Here is a 14,934-nt window from a genome sequence, read left to right on the forward strand (position 1 = left end):
AACCAGTCTCCAGGAAGAATATGAAAATGAAGAGCTGGTATGTAGGTAGCACTTCTTGAGAGCCTTATCTTGCTTAAGCCTCCCCAAACACTGTAAAGTAAGTGGGAAGGAGATTATGGAAAAGAACACTGAAGTTCAGAGAGATCAATATCCCATCCAAGGGTGCATAGCTGGGACTCAGTTCAGGGATGTGAGCAGAAGGGGCTGGGCCTCTGCCATCTCCGATGCTCAGGCACCTCATCACTGAACCAAACACCCAGCAACCCACTGTGAGCAAAAATAAATCTTCCTCCTTCCCGGCCCCTGTGGTCCCTGCCTCTGAGGCCACAGCTAGGAGATATGGTTCCTAGGAAAGGCACAACGAAAAGGGATACTCCCGCCATTTTTGACCTTCAAAGCCCTTCGTGTCTTCACTATGCCCTATGCAGCCCCAGTGACATGGGACCACCCTGGGTCATAGGTGCTCACCTGCTTGAAAGAATAGGTCAGAGGAATGTCAGAGAAGCCCCTCCTCCCTGCACTGCACCACCCACTCTCACACAGTCTGGCCTTAGTTTCTCGACCGATGGTGATGTCTGGGGCAAGTGTCTGCACGCCTCTGTTTACTCACCCGTAAAATGGGGAGAAGCGCATTTGCCTCCACCCCTCCTGCCGATGGGAGCAGAGGTAGAGCCTGCTTGTCTGGACAAGCCCAGAGCTAGGCCCATCCTCCTGACCTGCTCTCTGGGAGCCACCTACTGTGACAAAGTCTATGGCTGAGTGCTCCAGTCTGATCTCAGGCTCCCAGGATCACGTGGGTATCAAACGGAGGAGCTGCAGGTGAGCCAGTCGGCATCTTTGCAACTGGCTCCTGAGACCAGACGCCTCGGGTCACAAGGATGTCTGAGTGTGAGGTGAGGTGGCTTTCATTCCTGACTTCATAGCCAACAAAGTGGTGACTGTCTATCTTTGACCAAACAGGCTCGACTATCTTCCCTAAAGGAGCAGAGTTCTAAGCTCAACCCCATTTGCCTCCCCCATCAATCCAGCAATTATTTAATTAACACAGTTTCCTCTATAAATTTTATTTCAGATTTTTTTTTAAAATCCTGGCAGTGACATAATTTCAACCATCAAGGACCCCCGATAAAGTCTCAGGATGGGAGTTCAGTTTGTAAAGCATCTCTAGTTGCAGCTTCCTGGGGCCTGCTGCACACACTGGCCTTGGGCCCCTGGCCTCCATCCATGCAGGAGGGGTTTGTCACTACTCCCTGACGGTCCTCTTGGGCTCAGGCACCCAAACGCTAGGGCTCAGCACCCAGCCGGGGGCCGTGGCATAGCACATCTGCCCAGATGTTTTCAGGAGATCTGAGTGGGAGCCATGGGGCCAGCCAAGAGGGCAGGGAGCCCCGGATTTGCAGAAGCAGCTGAGGAAAGAGCTGGCATTGCTCAGACTCGCCAGTGTTAGCCAGCCGATATCGGTCAAGGCTGCCCCGCTCGAGGGTCCATTATCCCCTTTCCCCGGCCTCAGCTGTGCACTCCAGGCCATAACAGCACAAGACCTTTCCACAACCCCAGGGTAAGGGTCAGATGTGGGGTTTCCAAAAGCTTCAAAACTTACCCCTCTATCCAGCTCTATCCAGAAGGACACCAGGGGACAGAGAGATGGACACGGAGGCCTCAAAACAGGAAAATAAGGAGACCCCTCCCCATTGTTGATTACTTGGGGTTACCTACAGAAAGAGATGAACTGAAGGGGCTGAGCCTATCTGAGGATTAAAGCACAGCTTTTGTCAGGAGTCCGTGCCTCCGGTCTTTGTTCCAGCGACCTGAGGAATGGCATGCATCAGAAGCCGCTTCCGTGTCTCAGATGGGGCCTGGGTCAAGTCCTGGGAGTTGATGGAGCGTTTCCCAAATCGCAAAAGGAGAGGAGCTAGACTTACCTCCCCCTCCTGGGAAGTAATGCGCGACAAGAATTTAAACTCTTAAAACGATTAGCAGCAAAGGTCTCATGTGCTTTTTTTTAATTATCATTTTTTAATCGAGGTATAATTTATGCATTTAAAAAATCAGATCAATTGCCCCCCGGGCTCTGGGATGGAAGGCGGTGTGCGCCTGCGAAGGTCAGAGGCCCAGCGGCGCCAGGGCTCCTCGGCGGAGAGCCGCCCGGGTCCGGCGCTTTGCTTTCGCCTTCTGCCCCACCGCGGGCGAAGCCCCAGGGCCCCGGGGAGACTCCAGGCCGGCTGGGCCGGGGTGCGCCCGCCGGCTGTCCGCGCTCGGGCAGGGTGGGGCGCAGCGGGCGTCTGTCCTGCTAGCGGGGATCGGGCGGCTGGACCCAAGAGCAGGGCACGTGCGCAGCGACGCGGGGCGGCCCCGCCAGGAGCCCCGACCCGGGCGCGGCGCAGGGCCCGGCGGAGAGCGCGCATTCCCGAGCGCCGCGAGCCGGCCGAAGTCGGGCGAGCGCGCCGTGCGGCGGCTGGGAGTGGGCTGCATGTGCCGCGCGGGGAGCCCGCCCGACTTCGGGGAGGCAGCGGGGCGCCGTGGCCCCGCGGCTCAGCTCCCTGCCGGGTCGGGTGTCCCAGCCCTGCGACTTCCGGGGCCCGGCGGCTCCTCGGGGAGCTCGTCCACAGGCAGCCTCCGGGGCGAGAGAGCGCGCGGCGCGGGCGCCGGGACGGTCCGCGGCACGCGGGTGGAGCCGCCGGCGCTCGGGCTCCCGCAGGGGCGGCGGGCGGGGCGGGGTGAGGCGGGCCGGCCGCCCTCCCCTCTCCTCCCTCCCGCAGCCCGCCCTCCCTTCCTCCGGTCCCGCAGCCAATTAGGCGGCCCCCTCGGGCGGGAGGCGTGGGGCGCTGCATAAAGCGGCGGGGAGCTGCCACCCCGGGAGCGGGCTGCGCAGTGTCCGGGCCGAGCCGGTGCGCCGCAGACTAGGGCGCCTCGGGCCAGGGAGCGCGGAGGAGCCATGGCCACCGCTAACGGGGCCGTGGAAAACGGGCAGCCGGACAGGAAGCCGCCGGCCCTGCCGCGCCCCATCCGCAACCTGGAGGTCAAGTTCACCAAGGTGAGGCGGGCGCCCCTCCCACCCGACGGCCGCGGGCCCCTGCGCTGGGCAGCCAGACTCGGGGCGGCGGGGGCGAGGGAGCAGCGGGCCGGGGGTCCGCCGGGCGCCGCCGAGACCCGAGCCTCCCTGCCCGGGCGCGGCTCTCCAGAAACCGCACCTTTCGCGGGACGTCTCGGGCGGGATCGCAGGCGGCGGGGCTCGGCGCTGTGAGCCTCGAAGCCGGGAAACCGAGGCCGTCCAGCGCCCGCGCGGGGCCGGGCCGCCCGCATCCCTGCGAGGCCCCGACGTGTCCCTGCGCTGCCCGCTTTGATCGCGAGTGGAGGTGCGCGCCGCGTTGACTCGGAGCGCGCTGGTTTTGGGGAGCTCCCTCCCCAAAAACCCCTGCGATGATTTCCAGGGTGGACGAGTCTGGCTTTGAGAGGGTCGGAGGGTCCGAGAGCGCCAAGAGAGAGTCCGGGAGGCAGATGGCGGAGCTGCAGTTGGAAGACTGGGGAAGCGGGTCCTCCGAGCAAAGCGCAGCGGGCGCCTTCCGTGCTTAGTTTATACCCGGCTCAGCAGCAGAACGAGGAGGAGTAGGAAGGTGCTCGCTTACTGACGAAACCTCCCCGGAGCCCAGAGGTCCCGGTGTTTACACACAAGGCGCGCGCTCCGGAAGGTCGCAGACCTGGGCCTTTGGGAAGCGGTGGGTCGCGAGGCCGCAGAAGCGCACGGTTCTCTGCCTCCTCGCTCTGTGGGCTGGGAGGCTACAGCGTTGGCAGAACGGCGAGATTACCTGCCCGGGGCAGAAAGGAATAAAAGAAGATGGTGAGGCCTCCGAGGCCTCTGAGCTGGGGCTGAGGAGGGCCGAGAGACCCGGGTCCGGGAGCGCGACCCGATGGAGGACACCCCCAGGCTGTCTGGCGTGCGCGTCTGTCGTGGGCCGGTGCTGGGGCACTTTAGAGGCACAGGCCAGGCCGAGAGCCATTGCCTTAACTTTCCCCACCTTTGGCTTCTCTTGATTTTTGCTTTTACCCATAGCCCCCAACTCCAGCTGACACCGCACTTAGAGAATTTCCTCATCCGTTTTACTTTAAGAAGTAGCAATTATCTTTCTCAAAGAATTTTAATCAAGCGGAGAAAGTTGCAGGGCACTATGTGTGGCCTTCAGATTTGGGTCTCTTGGCACTTAATTCCCAATGTCGGCTGAGCCTCTGATCACAAGACATTTAAATTAACTGTTTTCAGAAGGCTCTGTAATCAACAAAGACACGTCGCTGTAAACTAAACGCTGGAAATTATTCTTAATGTAGTTTTATTTGTAATATCAGCTTCAGAGTGAAAATTCCAACACGAATTCTGGGAAGAGTGAAAATGGTACCCGAATTTTGTAAGACCCTAACCCCAGGTGCTTGGCTGCTGCTACTGATGGTTAAGTGGGGAGGTTGTTTGTTTTCTTTTGGTTGTACAGGATTTCAAAATACTGTATATAGAAACCAGACAGTAAATGTATTATGGTCCTTTTACTTTTTATGTTTTTGAGTCCTATCAGCAATCTGACCACATACAAAAAGTTTACCTCTTTCTCTATGATTTTTAGGACACTTTTAAAGTGTAGATGTAGCCCTTATGGAGACCTTAGACAATTCACAGAGCAATGGTTGCCTGTTGTCTTGGTGGGTGCGCAACCTTTGCCAGTTAAAGGGAACCAGTGCAGGAATGAGGCTGAGGGAAGCTGGTGGATCGGCCTGGAGTGCTGGGATCTTGAGTGGTCTCCCAGGCGATAAAGGCCCCAACTGCCTGACACCGGCTGCTGGCTCCTCACCCGTTGGGGGACTGTGCTGCTGCCTGCTCTGTCCTGGCTCCTGGCCCATCTCTGCAGAGACCTCCCCATAGCAGTTGTGGACCCAGGCAGCTTGTGTGGCTGAGGGTGGCCAACCAGTGCCCTGGCACAGTCCTCAGGGAGACTGGACTGGAGAGGCGGCCGAGAGTGAGGCCACCAAGAGTGCCTGCCGAGGGAAGGAGCGGGATAAACTGAAGTGCAGGACTGAGGCCCAGAGTGGGCGAGTGGCCCGGCAGGTGGGTGGCCTGGCAGGAGAGCAGACGGTGGAGCATGGGAGCCAGCAGTGGTCTGCTATTTTCCAAAATTGACTCATGGTGCTTCTCGATAATGGGGCACACACCAGAGTTGGTCCATCTGAGCCCTAGCCCCGGCAGTGCCATTTCCCAGGGTGGTCCAACTTTCAGGATGACTTTGTCAAAGCCCCTTCATTTGTCCTCACATGTTAACATTTCATTCTCTAGGGTCATGCTGTGTGATTCTGGAGAGCTGAGAGCCCCTCCAGGGTCCCCACACAGATCTCAGAGGATAGAAGTCCCTTCTAATTTAGAGGGCCTCTTTCTTTCCTTATAAAATTTCTTCCAGTAGCAGGGATTCTCTTCAAAGTTTTCTGATTTTTAAAACACCGGTTTTTATTATCTCTCTTATGAAAAATAAAATTCCCCCAAATCTCCTTTTCTGAAAACATATTCTTTTTGAGTTTAGCTGAGTGGCCTGTTGTCAGATGGAAGTTACGGGAAATCGGCATCAATAGGATTCACTTGTATGACTGTCATCTTCACCTCTGCCTGAGACACCTTACAGCTCCGTCCTGCTTCCATGTCATTCTGTTCCTTTTGTAAAATGTGAACCAGGTCTACAGCTCAATGTAGCTTAATGCTATACCTCTATAAGGTTTGTTGTATGCTAATCCACAAATCAAAGACAACAATTCCTTCTAGACCCTTTACCCTGATTTGGAGTTCAAAACAATACAGCCAGCATAATCAGTAGACCATATTTATATACCCTTTCCTTATATTTGTGCTTTTGTTTTGTTTTAATGGAGAGAAAAATCAACAGTAGAAACCACTTACAAGATTACTTACTACTGTAGTGTGGTATAAAGTAAAAGATTTTACAAAATTAAAAACATAGTGATGGGAAAATATGGTTAGAGTCAAACAGTCTGATTTTTTTTTAAGGTTGCTGGTTACAGATCAATGTCATGAACAAACAGTAATTTTTTTTGGAGGAGCATGCTTGGAGATGAAGTATAGCAGTATAGCAGACATCCGATCATTGTAATCTGTTTTCAGCCCCCTTATTTATATTCTCTTCTGCCACCTTCTCATTTTCCCTCCCCCTTGGAGTTGATACCAGGAAGGACCTAGAATCAGCAATTTTCACTGACAGTCTCTATTATCTAACCCACGAAATTTCATCTTTCTACAAATGGGCCCCTCTTCCTGGCTGCACTTTCCTCCCCGCACTAACTTAACTCTTCTTCCTCAGTTATTAATTTCTCGCTGTTACCAAGTGATGACTTGCTGGATGGCAAAAGTGAACTCTTGGATTTAGTTTCAGCTGGAAGAATAAACCTGTAATTGTAGCCTGGCCTTTTCCTGGTGCGCTTCCCTGGGGGCCTGGCCTCACATTGGAGACGCTAAGCTTCCAGAAGCCAGACAGGCAAATCCCAATGGTGACCGATGCTCTCAGTTCTGGATTCCAAACTGGGGGGCAGCTGGTCTCTGCTCACCTGCCCAGCCAGAGTCTGCCTCCTGTGCTTGGTCCCCAACCGACTCAGACCAGGCTTCCTCACTATGAGCTTCAGAGGTTTTTGTGGGTTTTTTTTTTTTTTAACATTCTATCAACTTTTAAGTTCTGGGGTACATGTGCAGGATGTGCAGGTTTGTTACATAGGTAAACATGTGCCATGGTGGTTTGCTGCATGGATCAACCCATCACCCAGGTATTAAGCCGGAGCTGTGGAGTTTATACAGGAAGCCCAATACAGAGAATGTAACCAAGACTCATGCTTAGGAGATGGCTGCCCTCTCTCATCTGTCATCACTGGGGAGTCAAATGTTTCAAATGAATCAATTTCACAATAATTGAAATTAGCCCTTGAGGGACGCAATTCTTCCTTTAAACAATTCAAAAAGAAGCAAAGTAAAGCTATGTATACCACATGCAGATAGATGTAAAAACGGAACCTGATGAACTAATTCTGTACTCAGAAATTACTGACGGCATTTTACTTGAGAGACATGCGTGTCAGCCATTTCTGCCACGGGGGTTCTTCTGATGCTGTGATAGGCTGTGATGAGGAAGCCATTCCAAGTTGGTGTAGCAGGAGTTTGTGTGTCTTCTGGCTGGGCAGCCGGGGACCTCCGTGCTGTCGGAATGTGTTTTGTATATTGTCTGTCATGTCTCTTCCTAGTTTTTTCCAAAAGCCCTCTCTTTTAATATGACATTAATAAGACAATTAGAACTTAGTGTAAACTAACAGTAAATAGTACATATGTTTCAGTGCATGGACTTCGTATGTTCTTCTTAGTCTGCTCATGATGTCTTTTGTCAAAAAAACTTTCATTCTCATCTGCATTCTGGATCATTGAGGTTCCCAGAAAAGTGATTTCTGCGGGTTATATAAACAGTTATTTGCGACATCTCTTAATGTAACCTGGAAAGTTTCTAACCCAGACATTTAACTTTGTACTTCAACGCTGGTTTATTATCAAGCTTCGGAGGTTTTTCTGGGTTTTTTTTTTTTTTTGACATTTTATCAACTTTTATTTTAAGTTCTAGGGTACATGTGCAGGATGTGCAGGTCTGTGACATAGGTAAACATGCGCCATGGTGGTTTGCTATGAAAATACACATTTTAAGGGGAATGTGCTGGGGAGGGACATGCTGATGTGCATTGGTGAAAACTGAAGGGCGATGGTGAGATCCTCCTCAAAGTGAGCTCCTTGGCAATCAATCTTGCTGAGTGTTGCCACTGAAAGGAGAAAGGGAGTGCTCGGTGCGTCCTTACCCTTCAGGGGCAGGCGGACTGCTTGGGACTTTTATGTATATAAACCTATTGACTCTTCCCCCAAAGTCTATTGGGGTATGAGATTCCATTCACAGCCTCTATTTAACCATTTAACTTAGCCATTCCTCTGTGAATCCATGTTATTGCTGAAGATAATAATAATAATTTAGAAAAAAATCTCTAAGTGACTATAGTTTTATTTGACCAAAACTTGAATTTCGAGTCTGTCCTAGTTGATCTGTTGGTCATGCAGTCCTGGGACTCTGTTCCCCTCCGGGTCTCATCTATAAGATGTCGAAGGGGAGAGGGAAGCAGCAGAGAGGAAGGTGGACAAGATGGATAAGACGTCACCTAAGGTCCTTAGCATGTTGAAATTATATGATTTTGATCTAAACCTAATTGGTTACACTTCCTTTCCTGGTTAGATATTTATCAACAATGAATGGCACGAATCCAAGAGTGGGAAAAAGTTTGCTACATGTAACCCTTCAACTCGGGAGCAAATATGTGAAGTGGAAGAAGGAGATAAGGTAAATACTTAAAATAAATTTGCTCTAAGTAATTCAATTATGGATGACCAAAGGATAAGGAAACGGTTCGGCTTAGCTATAAGACAGAACTGGCCTATCCTGGGGGCAGGGCCTGGGCTAGCTGCGTGAATTGGCATGTGGTTCTCAGACGTGTGGCACAGAATGGCATCAATTACCGATGATCCTCTGCAGAGAATCATTCTCCCTTGATAGATGTTTCTCCTACTATGAGGATGACCTCAGCTATCCTCATCATATGGCTAAAGGAAAGGTTTTCTTTTTTCTTTTTTTTTTTTTTTTATCAATTATTTGGACCTGGAGGCATTAAAGAATCTTTCCAGAAAGCATTTCCCGCTGGTGTGTTTCACGAAATGAAGCTTTCTGGCAGAAGACACTTTAGAAAAAAATAGACACTTTGAAGGAAAAAAAATAGTTGCTACCCGGGTGATGCGGGGATAGTTAACAATGTAACCACCAGATTTCTTTTCTCCTAGAAATTTACATGAGCATGGAAAGCGGTAACCTTTATCACTCTATTTGCAAGTGCAAGGTCTATATAGTAATACAGAAGCTAAGGGACTTCCGAATGTGTCCTTTATACATTGCAAGGCCATCAAATCTATTCTGAATGTCAGTGCAGAGGTAAAGCCCTTCCACTGAGGGCAGGGAGATGTAAATGTTTCCTTAGCTGCTGGAGTGCTGGACTGATGTTCTTGGTCAGCAAACTGATGACGTTGGAAGTGGATGCAGTGAAGGGCGTGTGCAGAGTAGGCTTGGATTTTATCTTGCCCATGAGTTTTTGTGACAGACGTGCAAATGCACACTGGCCCCACCTATACAGACCCCCCTCTGTGTGGCACCTCATGACAGTTAGGCTCTGCTAACAAAGAAAGTGGCACAGAGGAGCTCATAGAAAAATGTGAGGGCATTGGGGGGAAGCCATGACATGGAATGGGGTTTCCACTAGGAGACTCCCAAGTGCCCCGTACAGGTGCTAGGAGGAGAACGAGACCCTTGCCCTGGGCCTTGATTTCTCCCTTGGTCTGAGTGACTGTTCTGAGCCAGAGGCCACCACACCCTCTGCAGCTGGAAAGGTCCTGGCCTCCACCCCAGAGCCTGGGAGAAGAAATTCAGTGTCCCACATCTCCCCTGCCAAGCTTCTGCTCACCCCCAAGCCAGCTCTGGACACACAGAGACTCGGTAGAGTCACTCCTGACTGGTGTCCCACATCCACTCCCTGCTGTACCTTCCTAGAAAGAGAGAGGCATGGAGGGGCCTTCGAGATGAATGTGGCCCATTTTCCTGAGAAAAAGAGACAGTGACACTACTCTAAATGGCCCTCACTTCTTTCCTTTTAGAAAGAAGGTTCCGTTGTGATTATTCTATCAGTGCACAAAAGATCCAGTTCTGCTCCCATGGGGTGGGTGAGGCTGAAGGGAGAAAAACGGCCTTCATGCTCCTCCCTGTCTGCGAACTGTTCCACGATGGTCAGTTCTGCAATCCAGAAAGGAAGGAATTTCCCCATTCTCACTCTTGGACCACAAGTTCCCAGCTGGGATCAAATGCCAGGCAGACACTTCCCACCTGATCTGTGAACAGCAGGCTCGTGTGCGTTCACACTGAGGCAGCCAGTGGAAAGTCCTTCCGTACTTGGGTCCCTGAGAAAAATACTCTTTAGGAAATATTTTTAAATGCTTTTTATAATCAGAAACAAACATTGGTATTTGGCCACTGTAGAAATATTAAGATGTAAAGAAGAAAAAAAATCACTTGAACGCTCCCAGCCATTCAAGTGATTGAAAAACATGCTGCTGCTTGCAGCCTGTCTGCCAGCGGGACAATCTGCTGTTCTCTATAACTGATGGCCGTGGTCCCAAACTGCAGTCACGTCAAAAGATGACACCCAAACTGCAGTCACCTCAAAAGATGACACCCAAACTGCAGTCACGTCAAAAGATGACACCCAAACTGCAGTCACCTCAAAAGATGACACCCAAACTGCAGTCACCTCAAAAGATGACACCGAAACTGCAGTCACTTCAAAAGATGACACCCAAACTGCAGTCACGTCAAAAGATGACACCCAAACTGCAGTCACCTCAAAAGATGACACCCAAACTTCAGTCACGTCAAAAGATGACACCCAAACTGCAGTCACGTCAAAAGATGACAGTCTCTCTCTGTTGTTCTGGTCGCTCAGCCCGACGTGGACAAGGCTGTGGAGGCTGCACAGGTTGCCTTCCAGAGGGGCTCGCCATGGCGCCGGCTGGATGCCCTGAGTCGTGGGCGGCTGCTGCACCAGCTGGCTGACCTGGTGGAGAGGGACCGCGCCACCTTGGCCGTGAGTACATGCACTTGGGGGCCGGTGGGGGATGAGCCAGCCTCACTGAGGGTCCTGTCCACCATGGGGTATGGGAAAAAAGATCACGGTCCTGGTTTTGTGTGGTCGTGGGTCTGTTCCATCCTCTGAGACACGGCTCTCTGGCAATACTTGCAGGTGTTAATGCCTCTAGACTGAATCCCTTTCATTTTGAAGTCAGACTTTTGTCCTCTGCAGCTCAGCTTCTTGACCAAGTTGTTGTCTATAGGCAGTTGAGCTACATCAGTGGTCTCAGACTTGGGGCACTCACAGATTGGTGACCATGAGCTGGGCCATATCCTGGTACCACCTGTGTGTTTATGTACTTAACTTTTTTCTTTTTTGTATAAACTTCCTTTTATTTATTTTATTTTATTTATTTTTTTGAGACAGAGTCTCCCTCTGTCACCCAGGCTGGAGTGCAGTGGCGCGATCTCGGCTCACTGCAGCCTCTGCCTCCCAGGTTAAAATGATTCTCTTGCCTCAGCCTCCTGAGTAGCTGGGACTACAGGTGCCTGCCACCATGCCCGGCTAATTTTTATATTTGTAACAGAGACAGGGTTTCATCATGTTGGCCAGGTCTTGAACTCCTGGTCTCGAACTCCTGGCCTCAGGTGATCTACCGGCCTTGGCCTCCCAAAGTGCTGGGATTACAGATGTGAGCCACTGCACCCAGCCTTAACTCCCTTTTAAACTTAAGTTTAATCTCATCCTAAGAAACAATATTCATGAAATCACAGGTTTGATGTGCTAATTTTATTTTTCTAATACTTACCAAAATAAATGCCACCACTTAACATAGAAAAAATTGTTCCCATGTGACCTAAAATCATTCCTCAGTCACCCCTGAACTGGCTAGTAGCGAGCATATGTGGAGCGGTGGTGAGGGCAGGATAGCCTGGTTATAGGAAACCTCAGAATAGGAAAGACCTGGGTTCAAATCCCCACTCTGCCACTTACTAGCTGTGTGACTTTGGACAAGTTGTGAAACCTCTCTGAGATTTATTTCTTCATGTAAAATGTCACCGATAATGATAACTCAGTGGTGTAAGAATGATCTATTTAAGATTCTAGGCAGAGTCCCTGGCAGGCAGTAAGCACTAAATAGATGACAGCTATCATTAATAATAGCAGTTATCATAATGAGGTCATGTGAAGACCCATTTTCTAACCTCACCTACATGCACTGCTGGCCAGTAATTTCTAGATACCCTAGGTGGGGATATTGATGGAGCATACCCCATGAGGCTGAGCTGCCAAGGCATTCATCAGTTGTAAGTCCATTTTTTAGCAGGATCCTCAGACCCTCCTCTGGTCATGAGGGAGTGATCAGAGGACATCTCAGGGCCACGTTGGGCCATGAGGTCCTTTGCATCCTGTCCTTGCCCATCTCAGCCTCTTGTTTTTAAAAGTTGTTCCAAACCTTGAGGCCCGGTTGTAGGGGAGGAGATCTCCTTTCTGGCCTTTGATTTGGAAAAATGGTTTTTCTGATGTCGGGAACAAGCAGTAGGGTAGCCACTGTTTAAAGGAGGGTGTCAGCCAGGACACGGAAATTGCTGTTGCCCCTGAATGTGTTTCTCAGGGTGGAGGAACTCTCAGGCCGTACTCTTGGGTGCATTTCCCTAAGGGTGCATCCACACAGAAACTCGAGCTCCCCTTCCTTCCTTCCCAGTCAGCCCGGCCAGTCCACATGTTCCCCGGGTGAGAGTAGCTCCCTCCCAGGGTAAGCGCTTCTCTCTGAGGAGCCTCTGGTTTCTTCCTGCAACGTAAGCCAGCGTCAACCCTCAAGCTGCCAAACTGGCTTTTTCAAAAACATTTCTGTTTTCACCCGGCATGAGCTCATCGGTCGGCAATGTCCGTGTGGACTAATAGCAGGCTAGAGAGGATGTGCCCTGGGCACCCCCCGCCCTGAACCCTGTCCTTAAGTGTCAGTATCATCTTAGGAGCAGAGGCTACAAAGCCACCTTCATCTTCAGGCTGCCCCATTGTCCTGGCACGACTGTGTTTTGATAGCAGACAGCTTTGGAGGATCTCAGAATGCAAACCCAGCAAATCACTTCTGCCACTGGCACCTCGCAGCCCACGAGAAATAAGATCCAGCTCTTTGCCACAACATGAAAGGGACAAGAGAATTACTGGCAAACACGGTTTTTAAAACTCCAACCACATCACAGGAGAGCGCCCCTTGCTCTCCACCTCGATATGGTTTCCGTGCATGTTCATGGAGCGTGTTCTCTTGCCGGCTCAGTGGTTTGACAGAGCTGGGTGTTTATTTCTGTGCTCAGTGTCTGGAAACAGATGTGGGGGATCCAGCGGCCCCTGGATGGCTTTCCTTTGCTGGGGCACCCAGGCCCCAACTCTGCTCTTTGGGCGCTCATTTTGGGAGCTCCCAAACGGAAGCCCTCCCTATCCACTCTCCTTTTCACCCCAAGTGCCATTTCTGGGTCCTCTCGTTGTAAGCCCTGCCGTGCTGTTTTCCTGGCACTTCCCGTCATTCTTTAGTATCTGAGGGTTCTGATGTGTTAATTTCTCAGGAGGCACATTTTCCTCTTAAAATGTTAAAGGAAATAAACTTAGGAGTGGCTATGGTTTACTCATGATTGAGCCACAGTAACAAGTTGTTTAAAGGATGACTGTTTCAATCTGTAGCGAGCACTTGGACTCACTCACCTGCATAATTTTTTTTAATAATTTCCCGTCTAAACCTATCATGACCTGGGTTTTGCTCAGAGAAATTCCATAAAACTAACCTGGTAAATTCATGTTGTCACTCCAGTAAGCAAACTTGCTGAAGTTGACAATAAAAACAAATAGCAATGCTGGCTGAATGTTCGCCATGTACCTGGCTTGTTGACCTGTAGGATTTATTATCTCATTTCAGAGATGAGAAACTGAGGCCCAGAGAGGTTAAGTAACCTGTCCTAGGTCACCCAGCCAGAGGTGGTAATCCAGGACTGGAGGCAGAATCTTGGCTCCATGTCTCGCGCTTACCCTCAGTGCTGGATGTTGAAGTCCTCTCTCTTGTTCCATCCCAGAAAAGAGCAAAGAATAAACTTGCAATTCCACTGACAGATATGCAGATACTGTCTGGAATAGGTCAGTCTTAGAGGCCTTTTTGCACTATTTGCAATTGCTAGGCTTCCCCTGGAAAAATGAAAGTTCACGCTTGAGTGAAAATCTATAGGAACCAACACTAGAGTATACTTGATGTCACACTGGCCTGACTCAGTCCCTGAGTGGCAGCTGCTGGGGGCAGAACACACACCCCAAGCTAGACCAGTCCTGTGGTCTTTAGCAACCCAGTGCGCTGTCTGGGTCCCCAGGTGAGGATCGCCAAGCCCTTCTCTGGTGCCTAAAGGGAAGTTGATGATAGTCAGTGTAATCATCAGTGTTCTCATGTGAACACCAATCCAGCACTCACCATGGGCGGGCACTGTGGTTGCTGCTCTGTGGACACTGACTCCTTTCACTCTAACGCTGGCCCTGTGAGGTAGGAACCGTTATTATTCTTATTTTACAGATGAGGAAACTGAGGCAAGGAGTGATTCAGGGACTTACCCAAGGCCCACTTACTTAACTAGGGTTCAGCAGATGTAGTTGCCTCCTATTTAAAGGGGGCTTGGCTCATTCCTGAAGCAAAGGGGAGCTGGGGTAGCCCGAGCATCCGGAGTGGCTGCCCTGCAGTCTTTCCAGACACACCTGTCCAGGAGCAGCCTGTAAAGGCCAGTCGCTGTGCTGGCCAGAAGTAGATGCCCCCAATTCAGCTGCTGCATTACTGGGTGGCCTTGGCCAAGTCACTGGGCCGTTAGCGTCCGTGCCTGCACCTTGAAGTGGGAATGCAGTCATGGAGCTCAAAGGGTGAGACATCGGGGAGTGCGCTGGGGTTAAAGCCCTGGATCTGAGGAGGGGCCTTCTTCCTTTTTCAATCACCATCTCACTCCACTGACTCTTCCACAAGAATCCAGCCCTGGGCTATGTGTCAGGGCGGCCACTTCCTGCAGAGGCGGATGACTGGCGGTTTCAGCGCTGGGCTCAACTGGGGCCACTTGTCTGAGGGACAAAGGGGTTCTCTTCCACCCCGGCTGGAAATAGAAAAGAATCCCTGCCATTGAGTGGCTGCACACTCGCCCTGGGTAATCACCTCCCTCACCAGCAGGGCAGTCTGCTCCCTTCCGA

The 14,934-nt window shown here is 51.0% G+C and overlaps 2 protein-coding genes across 3 annotated transcripts in view, besides 2 other annotated features; one reads left to right on the forward strand and one right to left on the reverse strand.

The window, feature by feature from the left end:
• LOC124903575 (collagen alpha-1(I) chain-like) lies at positions 1,974-2,831 on the reverse strand. The gene has a single exon (XM_047433433.1). The coding sequence runs from the start codon at positions 2,829-2,831 to the stop codon at positions 2,049-2,051; it is 783 nt and encodes a 260-aa protein (XP_047289389.1). The 3' UTR covers positions 1,974-2,048.
• Positions 2,780-2,899: a silencer, noted in NCBI's record as "silent region_6879". NCBI's record gives its function as "represses an Ori minimal core promoter by ATAC-STARR-seq in GM12878 lymphoblastoid cells {active_cell/tissue: GM12878}" and the evidence as "EXISTENCE:reporter gene assay evidence [ECO:0000049][PMID:35858748]".
• The window catches only part of ALDH1A3 (aldehyde dehydrogenase 1 family member A3), a 36,796-nt gene continuing 24,720 nt past the window's right edge, over positions 2,859-14,934 (forward strand). For both annotated transcript variants that reach the window (NM_000693.4, NM_001293815.2), the window contains exons 1-3: positions 2,859-3,034; positions 8,295-8,399; positions 10,600-10,740. In NM_000693.4, the coding sequence (NP_000684.2) occupies positions 2,936-3,034; positions 8,295-8,399; positions 10,600-10,740 (345 nt within the window). In that variant the 5' untranslated portion in view covers positions 2,859-2,935. The remainder of the gene's footprint in view (positions 3,035-8,294; positions 8,400-10,599; positions 10,741-14,934) is intronic.
• Positions 3,391-3,905: an enhancer, noted in NCBI's record as "H3K4me1 hESC enhancer chr15:101420568-101421082 (GRCh37/hg19 assembly coordinates)". NCBI's record gives its function as "activates a minimal SCP1, AML or CMV promoter by ChIP-STARR-seq in naive H9 embryonic stem cells {active_cell/tissue: H9 hESC(naive)}" and the evidence as "EXISTENCE:reporter gene assay evidence [ECO:0000049][PMID:30033119]".

The sequence above is a fragment of the Homo sapiens genome, chromosome 15 (assembly GCF_000001405.40).
Source record: "Homo sapiens chromosome 15, GRCh38.p14 Primary Assembly".
Taxonomy (NCBI): Eukaryota; Metazoa; Chordata; class Mammalia; order Primates; family Hominidae; genus Homo; species Homo sapiens.

Bases quoted from the DNA above. Each gene is read 5' to 3' on its own strand.
- LOC124903575 (XM_047433433.1), bottom strand. From the start codon at position 2,831: ATGCAGCGCCCCACGCCTCCCGCCCGAGGGGGCCGCCTAATTGGCTGC.